This window comes from Homo sapiens, chromosome 8, assembly GCF_000001405.40.
Source record: "Homo sapiens chromosome 8, GRCh38.p14 Primary Assembly".
Classification (NCBI taxonomy): domain Eukaryota; kingdom Metazoa; phylum Chordata; class Mammalia; order Primates; family Hominidae; genus Homo; species Homo sapiens.
This window is the reverse complement of record NC_000008.11, coordinates 60,401,913-60,415,675: the sequence shown is the minus strand read 5'-3', so window position 1 is coordinate 60,415,675 and position 13,763 is coordinate 60,401,913. Positions and strand designations below refer to the sequence as shown.

General features: G+C 45.9%; 1 long non-coding RNA gene across 1 annotated transcript, besides 2 other annotated features; it reads left to right on the top strand.

Moving 5' to 3' along the window:
- The first annotated feature begins 1,857 nt into the window (after positions 1-1,857).
- LINC01301 (long intergenic non-protein coding RNA 1301) lies at positions 1,858-13,505 on the top strand. The gene is made up of 3 exons (NR_103854.1): positions 1,858-2,120; positions 7,179-7,321; positions 10,427-13,505. It is a non-coding gene; the product is annotated as a long intergenic non-protein coding RNA 1301 (long non-coding RNA).
- Positions 2,699-2,808: an enhancer, noted in NCBI's record as "active region_27422". NCBI's record gives its function as "activates an Ori minimal core promoter by ATAC-STARR-seq in GM12878 lymphoblastoid cells {active_cell/tissue: GM12878}" and the evidence as "EXISTENCE:reporter gene assay evidence [ECO:0000049][PMID:35858748]".
- Positions 2,819-2,888: an enhancer, noted in NCBI's record as "active region_27421". NCBI's record gives its function as "activates an Ori minimal core promoter by ATAC-STARR-seq in GM12878 lymphoblastoid cells {active_cell/tissue: GM12878}" and the evidence as "EXISTENCE:reporter gene assay evidence [ECO:0000049][PMID:35858748]".
- Positions 13,506-13,763: the final 258 nt, after the last annotated feature.

Below are 13,763 nucleotides of genomic sequence, written 5' to 3'. Positions count from 1 at the left end.
AAAGAGACAAATAATGTGCCCAAGCTCATACAGTCTATAAGTGGGGGCTCTGGGACTCCAGAAATTGTGTGTTGTGCTTGCCTCTAGAGGACAGGTGACACTGAGAGAGTGCTTCCTTGTGCCAGGCCCCAGGACCTGAGTGGGCCTACATGCACCATCTCACGATGTCTCCACAGCAATCTCCCCAGTGACCGATGAGGAAATGGAGCTCAGAGACATTACCTTGCCAAAGTAGGTGAGTTGGTAGGCAGCAGAGGTGGGATTCAAACCTATTTTTTTTTTCTTTTTTTTTTTTTTTCAGATGGAGTCTTACTCTGTCGCCCAGGCTGGAGTGCAGTGCCTCAGTCTAGGCTCACTGCAAGCTCTGCCTCCTAGGTTCTAGAGATTCTCGTACCTCAGCCTCCTGAGTAGCTGGGATTACAGGCACGCGCCACCATGCCCAGCTAATGATTGTATTTTTAGTAGAGACGGGGTTTCACATGTTGGCCAGGCTGGTCTCCAATGCCTGGCCTCTGTTGACCTGCCTGCTTGGGCCTCTGCCTAAACGGTGCTGGGATTACAGGCATGAGGCACCGCACCTGGCCCAAACCTATTCTTTCTACTACTAGTAGTTCTTCCCAAAAGTTAATGTTTATCACTATGTGGAATGTAGTTGAAATGTACATTCCCAGTTCCCACTCCAGAAGCTCCAATTCGGTAGATTTGGGAAGGGTATAATATGCATTTTGCACAACTGCCCTAAGTGATGCTGAGGCCACATGGGGCCAACCCTGCTTATTCTTTTTTTTTTTTTTTTTTGATACAGAGTCTTGCTCTGTCACCCAGGCTGGAGTGCAGTGGTGCGATCTCGGCTCACTGCAAGCTCCACCTCCCGGGTTCATGCCATTCTCCTGCCTCAGCCTCCCGAGTAGGGATTACAGGCACCCGCCACCGTGCCCGGCTAATTTTTTTTGTATTTTTAGTAGAGACGGGGTTTCACCGTGTTAGCCAGGATGGTCTTGATCTCCTGACCTCATGATCCGCCCATCTCAGCCTCCCAAAGTGCTGGGATTACAGGTGTGAGCCACCGCACCTGGCCCCAACCCTGCTTATTCTTTATGGCCTTCCTGTTCTACCGGTGATGCCCTGTGTGGCTGGTGCATGCCTCGCCTTGCTGGCCTCAGTTTCCCTGTCTGTAGAGTGAGGGGCTGGACCAGAGAATCTCCCAGGTCCTCCCAGGTTTTGGCTGAGTCCCCTAAACACGTGTGCTGCAGAGATGCAAGGCACATATTGTGCTTCCAGGGGGATTGCTGCCTCCACTGAGCTCTCCGAGGGCAGCAGCCAGACACGGAGAGCAGGGGTTTCTCAGGCACCCCCGGGCCATAAGGCTCCACAGGAGCCCTCTGGCTTGCGGGTAAAGGAAAGCCCTGTTTATTGGTTTGCAGCAGTTGGCAAACTGACATTTAAAAAAGGAAGTGAATTGTGAGGTGGGGATTTTAATTCAGGGAAATATTTGAAGAACTCAGTGTTTGCTCAGAGAGGTCATTAAATAGGTTTTGTTCCCACACCCTCTGGAAAAATGATGCTTCATTAAAATGGCAACACGAGGTGTAGTGAAAATGGTGAAATTGGGAACGCTGAAAAGACACATTCACTAGATTCCACTTAAAATGTAAAAGGAGTGTAAAGAAAACAAATGGACATTTTCCTGAGGCAGCTGAGCTATACAAAACACAGGCATCTTTGTCTCCTTCTTGAAAACTTCCACAATGCGTTCTCCTTTCTTCCTCTCCACTAATCTGTACTTCTAAGAGGTGTTGAGTTTCGGCCAAACTTTCTGCTCGGCTCGCATCAAAGGCTGCCCTCTTGTGAATAGCCAGCTCTCACCTAATGATCTCCCTACTCACTCCTGACCAGGACGCAGGTCATTCCCCATAATAATTAGCTCACAGGCAGAGTTTCCAGGCGCTTCCAGGAGCATCAATCACCGGGATGAATGGGAAGCCCGTGTGTGGGAACTGCAGGGGGAGCTGGGTGCAGAGCCACCTCAGCCCTGTCACCCTGCGCGTGTCTCTGCCATGCTTCCTTGGATCCCTATCTACCCCGTTTTGGGTGACAGGACGAGTTGGGCCAGTTACCAGGTAAGTTAAGAGAGGGCTGTGGAAGCATCAGCCCCAACACCCCACCAACGCAACCCAGGCTGAGCTTCTGTTTTCCTTGTGACAGGATCTTGTCGCCTGGTTCTGATGGTGTCTTGGTTCCCGGCTGGGGTTTTGTGTTTACCACGAGCGTTGCCTGCTGTCGGGGAGCTGCGTGTGTTTCACAACAAACAGGGAGCCAGGGAGACCACCCTGCGGGGCTGCCCCTTCCCTCAGCGCTTTCTGCTTGGGTCGCTGGCGTCTTGCAGTGCCTTCGTTCGTCTGTGGTGTGAGGTGCTGGTCCAGGCTTACGCGCTAACAGTGAATTAGAAGGAGAAAACGCTCTGCGAGTGCAGCGGAAGGTCAATATGGAGCCTGGTTTGCTTTTAGAATCTTCCCAAGGCCGATGGGCTTCCTCTTCCCTCCTGACCAGAGGCTTTGATGCCCCTGCCCTGGGCTGCCTGGTTCCTGCCCCGAGTCTTCAGAAAGATCCCCGGGCCTGGAGACTGTGAGTTCAGGTTCAGATGCCTTGCGTGGCCTGTGAATCCTGGGTCTGGTCTCTGTCCCCAGGCCGGTGTTCAGGGACCACCTTGAGCACCAAAGGCAGCCCAGTCCGGCTTTGACTCAGCTCCCAGGGCGGAGTCCCTTGCCCAGCACTGGGCAGGAGGAGGGCATCCTCAGGGCAAGGTCTGCCATCAGCAGACCAGAGCCAGAGCCCGCAGCCCCTGAGCACTTTCAGATTCCTGCAGCGCAGAGAGGTTTTCCGGGAGGGAAGGGAGGACCCTGTGGCTGGAGAAATCCCGCCGCGAACACCCAGCGACCAGGTCTACAGCAGCACCAGGTCTGTGCTTCCCCCTGGTGGTCACAGATTTTACTACACGCGGCCCACAAGTAAAATGAGTTTCTCTTCAGTGGCCCGGTTATCTTCTGTCGTGTAGGAGGAAGTCCAGAGCCACGGAAATTCGGTAAGGATCGGATAAGGGCAATAAAATCGCAGCTCTAAATCTTTTCATGGAGTTGAAGACAGACGTTTGACTGTGGGAGCCATCTCATCTTTATAACCTGGTAAACAATGCCAGAATAAAAACAACAAATTCAATGTATTTAAGTCGGTTTCGACAGTGAGGAATTAAAATTAAATTTATTTAAACTATTTTGACTTTTACCCAAGTTTTTCTTACAGTTCCATCTCATTTTTCCCTCCTTACATAGTTTGGGGAGTAGAGAACAGTCTATTTTTGACTCCTGTGTAACTGACATGGACACAGAGGCCTGCGGTCCCTTGGAGGATTAGTGGCCCACGCAGGTGTGCAGACCACGGGTCCCTCAATCAGAAGCGGGATGTGTGGCAGGGAGCTTTGGAGAGCTTTCATTTTGGATTAGTGATTTCCTGTCGACTTTTCCTCGTTTTTGTCACAGCACACTCGGAACATTTCTCATCAGCTGTGTACACTATGTCAGGCATTTCAAATATGTTTCTGGAAGTTGTCAGTGCTGTTCTCTATGAGGCCTGAAGGAAAAATTCAATGTTTGTAGTAAATAAAGTACAAAAATTATATCAGCTATTAAGAGGATGGATTATTTCCAAGTTGCTTAGCCATATTGGTTGAGCGTTGAATGCAGCAATGATGCCAACATATTAAGCACAAGAATCTTGTATTCCTGGATACTGGAAATTCCCTAGAAGATGGTGGCGCAGGGTCAGCTGGGTGGGGATGTCAAGGGATGTACAGTGGACTTCAAGAAGGAGTTTATGGAGATGCAAGAGAAGGTTCTGAAAACTTTGCTAGGATGGACCCTTTGTTGAATTAGTTCTCAGGGAGGCTGATTTGGAGGAGACAGGTGGCATCGGAAGCTAGAAATAGTGTTCCACAAACAATGAGCTTCCAGGGAATATTCATGCCTAGAATTGAAGACACATGTGTATGGGTTCTGTCTTCCCCTCTGTCTCAGTCTCTGTTTTGGGTGAAATTGGGTCCCCACCCCAAATTCACATGTTGAAGTCCTAACCCCAGTACCTCAGAATGTTTATTGCATTTGGAGATGTTTTTACAAAGGTGATTAAGTTGAAATGAGGCTCTTAGGGTGGGCTGCAATCCCACATGACTGCAATCCCACGTGTCCTTATATGGAGAGGAGATAAGGACACAGACACACACAGAGGGGGAAAGATCATATGAAGACCCAAAGAGAGAGGCCACAGAAGAAACAACCCTGCTGATGTCTTGATTTTGGGTATCTAGCCTCCAAAATTGGAGAATATATATTTCTGTTGTTTAAGCCACCTGATCTGTGGAGCTTTGTTACAGTAGCCCTAGCTGACGAATCCAGTGTCCTTTTGAGTTTAAGGAGCATGACTGGATGACCCATCCATTCAGTATCAGCACCAACCAAGTAGAAACCATCAAAGGAAGTGGACGCAGTGGCTCAGGCCTCTAATCCCAGCACTTTGGGAGACCAAGGTGGGAGGATCACTTGAGCCCAGGAGTTTGAGACCAGCTTGGGCAACATAGGGAGACCCTGTCTCTAAAAAAATTAAAAAATTAGCTGGGTGTGGTGGCATGTGCCTGTTGTCTCAGCTACTTGGGAGGCTGAGGTGGGAGAATTGCTTGAACCTAGGAGGTCGAGGTTGCAGTGAGCCAAGATCACTGCCACTGCACTCCAACCTGGGCCACAGAGTGAGATCCTGCCTCAAAAAACAAAAACAGGCTGGGGGCAATGGCTCATGCCTGTAATCCCAGCACTTTGGGAGGCTGAGGCAGACGGTTGATTGAGCCCAGGAGTTAGAGACAAGGCTGGGCAAGATGGCAAAACCCCGTCTCTACCAAAAATACACACACACAAAAATTAGCTGGATGTGGTGGGGTGTGCCTGTAGTCTCAGCTACTCAGGACGCTGAGATGGGAGGATGTTTTGAGCCTGGAAGGTGGAGGTTGCAGTGAACCCAGATTGCATCATTGCACGCCAGCCTGGGTGACAGAGTCAGATCCTGTCTCAAGAAAACAAAAAACAAACAACAAACCCAAACCCCAAACCAACCAAACAAACAAATAAAAACAACCAAAAAACCCATCTGATATGGTTTGGCTCTGTATCCCCACCCAAATCTCATCTTAAATTGTAATCCCCGTGTGTCGGGGGAGGGACCGGGTGGGAGGTGATTGGATCCTGGGGGCGGACTTTCCCCTTTCTGTTCCATGATAGTGAGTGAGTTCTCATGAGATCTGGTAGTTTGAACGTGTGTGGCAGTTTCCTCTTTGCTTTTCCTCTCTCTCCGGTCTGCCGTGTGAGATGTGCTTGCTTCCGCCTCACCTTCCACCTTGATTGTAAGTTTCCTGAGGCCGCCCAGTCATGCTCGCTGTTAAGCCTGTGGAACAGTGAGTCAGTTAAACCTCTTCTTCATAAATTACCCTGTCCCAGATAGTTCTTTATAGCAGTGTGAAAATGGACTAATACACCATTAAAGTCCACTCTGTAAGGAACCAAAAATCTTAAAAAACAGAAAAGTGACTTGTGTGAATGGCATCCAGTATCTTTTACTAGACAAGATATATTAGCATGATTTCTAGAGAAAAGCCCAAATACATGTCTGAAATATCTATACCACAGTTATGACTGACTATAAATCTTCCCCCCGCCCCCAGTTTTGTGGTGTCCTAAAAAGGAATCCAAATAGTTTGGAAAATATCCTCAAGTCTAAATGAATCACGCAGCCAAGTTTTATGAAACCAACCTACAAAGTTATCGATTGCTACAAGAAAGAAGATATTCACTTGTTACTCCTAGTTTTGTTTTAGCTCTTCTGAGATATCTGGGGTTTAGCTTACGGATTGCATGATTTGATGAAACTCTGCACAACAGTTAGCGAGGAAAGGAACTTTAGCTCTGAGGACTTAGGGTCCAGCCAATGGTCTGGGTACTGCGGCATATCTTTCACTCATGGTGGTGGTGAAGTTAACACTGATGATTAAGCTAACCTCTACCAAGCACTTCCTTCCCATGGGCTCTAAATTCAGTGCTTGACATATTTCATTTATGTTTCACAGAAATGCTAGGACCTGAGACATGGTATAAGGGAGTGGTTCAGTTTTGGTGACACTCAGCTATGTGACCTTGAGCAAATTGCTTCACTCTCTGTGCCTTGGTCTTCTCATTTGTAAAAGGTTGTTGGTAATGCAGGTGGGGCGCTTGAAGCAGTGCCTGGCACTGACGAAGGTTTTCGTGAGTGTTGGCCACTAGTATTTTTCTTCACACCCTCAGCTGAGGAAATGAAGGGCACTGGAGGTGTTAAGCCATGTGTGTAACCACTTCTATGCCATCACGAGGGGGGAATCTGGCAGCACAAGAGGCTGCATCACTGAGGCTCTGCACCGCCTCCCAGTTGGGCTTGCTATCCTTGCAGGTACTTGTCTCCTTATTCCTGCTGAGATGCACGAAGGTGACTTTAATATGCATGGCCCGGCTGGGTGCGGTGGCTCATGCCTGTAATCCCAGCACTTTGGGAGGCTGAGGCAGGTGGATCACCTAAGGTCAGGAGTTCAAGACAGCCTGACCAATATGGTGAAACCTTGTTTCTACTAAAAATACAAAAATTAACTGGGCATGGCAGCAGGTGCCTGTAATCCCAGCTACTCGGGAAGCTGAGGCAGGAGAATTGCTTGAGCCCAGGAGATGGAGGTTGCAGTGAGTCGCGATTGCGCCACTGCACTCCAGCCTAGGTGACAGAGCAAGACTCTGTCTCAAAAAAAAAAAAAAATGTGTGGCCCCTGCTCTTTTACCCCCGGTACTTCAGTGTGTCTTCTCCAAAAACAAGATCATTCTCCTCTATAATGATAAAATCAGGAAATTGATGCATTTAATCTATAGATCTTATTTGAATTGTATTAACTGTTTCTCTTATGTACTTTTTAGGAAAAGAAAATGGTTCTTTTCCTGGTCCAGGAGCCAATATCCAACCTGGGGTTTCACATTTCATTTTGCTGTCATGTCTCTCTGTCTTTCTTCTGTCTGGAACAGTTCATCAGCCTTTTTGTTTTTAACTTTTATGACCTTGACTTTTAGAGTACAGGACATTTACTTTGTGGACTGCCATTCAATTTGACAACAGATTTGTTTTTAATGTGCACTTTCTGGAAACAAGATATTGTTCCTCAAAGAAATGAAAAAAATGTTGGGAATACATAAGACATCATAACAGACACCAGGTAGGAATTTTTGAGGTTGGGTAGGTCTGAATAACATTCAAATTGGACTATAAAATGGATATCATGATTGACCCTGCTATGAAAGTTGTTCGTGGTTTGTCTTGGTAATTCAGTTGCCTTATATAAAATTATGGGTTTGATGTATGTGGTCTCTAATATTTTGTCAAGCTCTGGCATTATTCTAATGTGAAATTCTGACATATTGTTAATGATGCTATTTACATGCTTTCTTTTTTGTTTGTTTTATTTTATTTATTTATTTTTTGAGACAGAGTCTCTGTCGCCTGGGCTGGAGTGCAGTGGCACGATTTTGGTTCACTGCACCCTCCTCCTCCTGGGTTCAAGTGATTCTCCTGCCTCAGCCTCCCAAGAAGCTGTGATTACAGGCACCCACCAGCATGCCCAGCTAATTTTTTGTTTTTAGTAGAGACAGGGTTTTGCCATGTTGGCCATGCTGCTCTTGAGCTCCTGACCTCAAGTGATCCACCTGCCTCGGCCTCCCAAAGTGCTGGGATTACAGGTGTGAGCCACCATGGCTGTTTAAACCTTCCCACACTGGTTTCCCATGGTAAGGAACACCCTCATTCATATCACTTTAAGACACATCTTAGTTAATATCCCGTATCTCCAGCTGTTCAATTCCCTCTCCCTCTAACTTTACAGTTTTTACTCCATTTTTGCTCAAATGCCTTATTCTGAGCATGCCTCTGCCACATGGCTGCTCTTGGAATGTAGGAAAACCATCACATGCTAGGACTGGGATTCCAAAACATTTCCTCCATAAAGGAAACCACCAGCCACTGTGGGGCAGCTCTATGTGTAGAACTCTCAGCTCACTGTCACCTAAGGGGCTGGCTGTAGCTTAGTCTTCCCAAGAAATCCACTGCTGTGTATATACACGCAGTAGCCACTGAACCACCTGCTGAGCCACAATGCATGCTTGGGTTGGCCTTGATGCCATTGTTCCCTGGGTGGAACCCCACCCCCTCCAACCCCCAACCCAAGAGGCCTATTTGCTCCATGTTTGCTTTTTAGGGTAAAAGAGAGAGGCAAAAGGCCCATGGTAATGCTAGACTTTGGAAGTAAGTCTCAGAGAATAATGATGCTGAAAAGAAAGATAAAATTTTGCTGACAATTATAATACATAGTGAAGGTGTAGAGTTTCTAGTTCCTGTTGAAATGAAAAAGAATTGGGTCTCTACTTGGAGGGTGAGAAGGATGGAGTCTAGGGAAAAAGGGATGTTTGAGTTCCAGATATCCGTTTATGTGTGAGAGTTATAGAGTGGATGGAAATGGAATGGTTTGCACTTTACAAAGCACTTCTAAGTATCCATCCATCCATGCATACATCCATCATTTATTTATTTAGCATATTCCAGGGTTCATTCTAGGCCATGAGAATGCAGAGGTGGAAAGAGGAAAATCTCAGTCTATTTGGTGGTACAGGCAGCACAAAAGGTCATTACAATGTGATATGCCAAGAATTGTGAAGAGGCCATTGATGGCTGGGCGCAGTGGCTCATGCCTGTAATCCCACCACTTTGGGAGGCCAAGACAGGTGGATCACGAGGTCAGGTGTTTGAGACCAGCCTGACCAACATGGTGAAACCCTGTCTCCACTAAAAATACAAAAATTAGCCAGGCGTGGTGGCACCAGCCTGTAATTCCAGCTACTCGGGAGGCTGAGGAGGTTGCAGTGAGCCGAGATCGCGCCACTGCACTCCAGCCTGGGTGACAGAGTGAGACTCCGTCTCAAAAAAAAAAAAAAAAAAAAAAAGCCATTGATAACTGTAAAGAGGCCTTTAATGGGATATTAGGGCGCACAGAAGGACTAAGTCAGGAAACACAAAGTGGAGACAATTAGCCTGGATTTTGCAGAACATGTAGGAGTTTGCTATGTGGAGAAGAGGAAGAGAGCATTTTAGATGCAGGCAAAGGCCTGGAGTTACATACAAAAAGGAGCTGATCTCTGGAGGTTGGGATTTTGACCAGTTCTGTGGGTGATTGGAGCGATTTTGATTAGGCAAAATCAGCCCAGATGAAGTAAGGAAGGGGGGAGAAGAAACTCACCTGACCCCCTTCCTGCACCTTTGCTGGGTTTCATTCTTTTGTTGTCAGAGGGAATGGGCTTGGAAAGTGTGTAATGAAATAACAAAATGAATAACACTTTGAGAGAGTTGTTCTCACCCAGGGATGCACTTCAGAATCTCTTTGGGAAGTTTTTGAAATTTACATGGCCAGGCCTGACATCTGACTCAGAGGCCCAGGGTGGAGTCAGCACTGACCTGCTCTGCAGAGCTTCTCATGGTGTCCTTGGGTGGGAACACGTGTCACGTGTGTTTCCTCTACTGGGAGTATCTGCCTATCGGAAGAAAGGGCACAGGTGCTATACAGCCATCTCTGGAGATAGTGCCTGTGGAATTTTTCAGGGTAACTACACCCTTTATTCTGCTAGCTGGGTGAGAATTCTAATGATAGCAACGTCTGCCAGTGTTCCCAGGAATCTCAATTTCAGAAGATAGTTTCAAATAAGATTTTCTAATCTCTTCTAGAGTTCCAGAGTCTATTTACATCCCATTCCTTTGTTAATGTTTATAGTCAGGTTTTATCATCATATTAGAGATGGGGAAGAGGCTGATGGGGGCCTCCTTGGGTGTTGGCAGTGCTTGATTTCTTGCCTGGTTATTGATTCCATGGGTGTATTCATGTTGTATAAATTCAGTGAGGTGCTCATTGAGCATTTGTGCACTTTTCAGTAAATATATGATACTGCATTTAAAAGTCAATTTAAAAACAAATGAATATATTTAAGAGTTGAAATTACAGTACCATGAATGCAGAGACCGTTTTCCCCATGACTAAGTCCCCAAAGGCTGATGTACTCCTAGGATGACTGGCCCAGTGGCTCTGTGCTTTGCCAAGGATGCAGTCTGGCGCCCCAGCAGGGACACAGGGTCACCTGTGCAGAGAGCCTCCGTGGGCGGTGGGAATGGCAATCTTGGGTTTCCTGACTTTTGTGCGTTGATGGCTTCACTCACAGAGTCACATTAACCCAGTTTCGTAGACTGAATGAAACCATTGGCAACTTTCTGATTTGTTTTTCAGCCTGAGTCGAAGCTGTTAAAGAGGCCAAGAATTCCCAAGCTTTCCCAGGCAAACGGGGAAGAACACTGGGATGCCTTTTCCTCCTCCTCTGTCCATCTGCAGGCCAAGTGTGCATCAGTCACAGGCAAACTCTGAATTGAGCTTTGTGCAAGTCTCTGGAAAGAGACCCAAGATCGTGTGATGAGCAAAAGTGACAGTGCTGGAGGCAGCGACATCTGCAGAGCCAGCCCCATCCCTATCTGCAGCAGAATATGTATGGGGATCCTTTATGTGAACAATCCACCCAGGGTAGAATGGGGCTTTTGACATCAGCTGAGACCCAGGCGGCCTTACAATGAGAGGGCTGTTGGTCAAAGGAAGGACTGTTTAATGAACTGAGAATCTGAGGCCAGCTCTGGCCATCTGCACTTGGAATCATTAGAGCAACTCTACTGTAACTGGCAACCTTGAATAATGCAGCAAATTCATATTCCAAAATTGTGAACTTTAAAATTTTGTGTTTGTGTCTATGATGAAAAGCATTATATAAACATTTGATACTACAATTTTATTAGTAAGGAAGGCTGAAAAAGTATCTCTCTTTTGACTCTGAGGTCAATAATGATAATGGCTTTTCCCCTACACTGGGATAGAAATGTTCTGTCAAGGATATGAAAACACTTTATGAAAATGAAATTCATTAAAGCCCTTAATAATCAGGTAGGGAAGGCAGGTGCTCACAATTGTCACCTGTTGGTGAGTGAACACCTTAGGCTCGGGGAGGACAATGACTCAAGAACAAGGTCGAATTGCAGGTGGGGGGTGAAGCTGATCCCTAACAGTGTCCTCCAGCCCCTGGCACTGAGGAAGGACATGGAGGGCTTGCATCGACTTTTCCTGGCAGGCTTGTGATTCCCAGCCAGAATGCAGGTGGCAATGTTGTGATTCCTGGCGTAACCTTCAATGCTTCAATGATAATCTCTGCTGGTGCCAGGCACCAGCTGAGTGTCACTGTGCAGCTCCCAGGCTTAAGTGATGCATGCCGAGGTTTTCAGAGCAGTCTCTCATTTATTAGTTGTGTTGGAAAGAAATCTGTACTACCTAACTGGGTACCTCTGGATTTTAACAGCTGTGGTTTATAAGAGATATGAGAGGGGGTTTGTTTTCAAAGTGCCTTTCACAAAGTAACACCTTAGACTGTAGTTTACATTCCATTCCAGTAGGATAACTTGCAACACTTCTGTGCTCAGAAATCCAACTGTGCAAGAAAAGTCAGGTTATATTTTCATACAGCCCGTTCTGGCAAATATGCCTTCACACCACTTTCCCTCCTCCTCACCGCTATTGGCAATAGTCCCAATGGAAGAGTTTTATGTCAAATGCTGAGTATCTTGGAAGCTGTCCTGCACAGACACGACTGCTTGGCTGCGTGTTGGAGAGTCGCGGTTGGACTGGGAGACCAGGAAGGTCCCTTCTGGTCTGAGATGTGATGACTCTAGAACTAATTAGTTTCAACTCATAACACGAAATGATACTAGCTACCATTTGGTGGGCTTTTTCTGTGTTCCAGGCTCTGTGCTAAGATCTTAGCATTACTCTAATTACAAAATCCCTGCCAATATTATCCTCAGTTTACGCAAGAACAAATGGGTTTAGGGAAATCAAAAACTTGTCCAATGACACAGATTTAAGATTTAGCAACTGATGGCCACGTGGAAATGGATTACAGATTATTCTAATTGGACACTCTAAACGTGCAATTTAACCAGAATGAAATTTAGGGCTGCGTGCTGTGGCTCATGCCTGTAATCCTAGCACTTTGGGAAGCCAGGTGTATCCCTTAAGCCCAGGAGTTTGAGAGCAACTTGGGCAACATGGTGAAACCTGTATCTACAAAAAATACAAAAATTAGCCAGGTGAGGTGGTGTATGCCTGTAGTTCCAGCTACTTGGGAGGCTGAGAGATGGGAGGATTGGTTGAGCCTAGGAGGTCGAGGCTGCTGTGAGCTGTGATGGTTCCACTGCACTCCAGCCTGGGCGACAGAGACAGACTCCATCTCAAAAAAAAAAAAAAAAAAAGTAGCTACCTTGTGGTTGCACTCGTCTGAGACTAGCTCATGGCTCCAGCTCTCAGGGTGGTGAGTAATGATTCTGTGGTCAGACGCAGTTTTGAAGTCAGGCAAGAAAACCTTCAACAAGAGTTAGAGATGTCCTGTCTATGAATTTCTCCTCTAGGCTTAGGGATAGCCCTGGGATTCATGTCATGCCAGTTAGGGATCCACTCATTGTAAGCAATACAAGTGCCCCCGAAGAGACAGTGCATTAATTGTCACCCCTTAGGAGCATTGTGTGAATTAGTGTGATTTAGCACATGCCCAGAGGGATGAAACTCTAGCTCCATAGGGTAGGTCCTGATTACTCCTGGAGCAGGCAGCCAGCTCAGCTCATGGGGAGCTCTGAGAAGTCTCTCAATGCCTCGCATGCAGCCCCTGCTCAGGAGTCATGTGTCACTTCACAGTCTTGCTTTCCAGTGGGTCAAAGCATGATGTTTATGAGAAACAAATACACAAAATTCTGACTTGTGTGAATACAGAACACGTGCAATAAAACGACTGCAATCTATTTTTAAAATGTGGTCTGAGAAGTCAGGTTTAATATGACTATGTAATATATAAACAATATATTTTCCACAGAAAGGAAAATATAAATAATAAAATATGTCTATTTCTTTTTTTTGGTGGAAAATTACTCCCACAATTTGGTCCCAAGGGGGTCTTAATTTGTCATCAGGTCTGTGGCTAAATGTCTTATAAAGGAATGCTTCTTTCTTTCGAGAAGTGTACAGGAACAGTCTGCACTGACTGCTTTTACCTGTAAATGTTTTGAGAATTCAGAAGTCACTTTCCTTCCACAATAGGTGCTAGGCATTTTATTTAAATAAAGCAAAAACATTTCTGTCATAAAGAAGGTGTTAATAACCTCAAAGCTATGCGAAATATACTAGTACAATCTAATACTCATGGTGAAAAATACAGTAATTAAGAGCAATTCAAGTTTTTTTGTTTTGGTTTAACTTCAGAATTAAAATAAACTCAGAATTAAAAAAATAAAAAATGGTTTTATTACATGTCAGAGTATTGAGATACAAAATATATACCAGATACTGCAAGAAAATGTTTCATCTCATCACTCAATGCCCATTAAAAAATCAATGCCAAATACAGATTTCATCCATGAAGCTAACATTTTCTCAGATTTTATGAGGGCTGTTTTTCAGCTCTGATGGTTTCAAAAACACTTTGAGGCTCAGGTGGAAGCTGTGTGGTGAAGACGGGCTGCCTCCTACAGGCTGGCAAGAA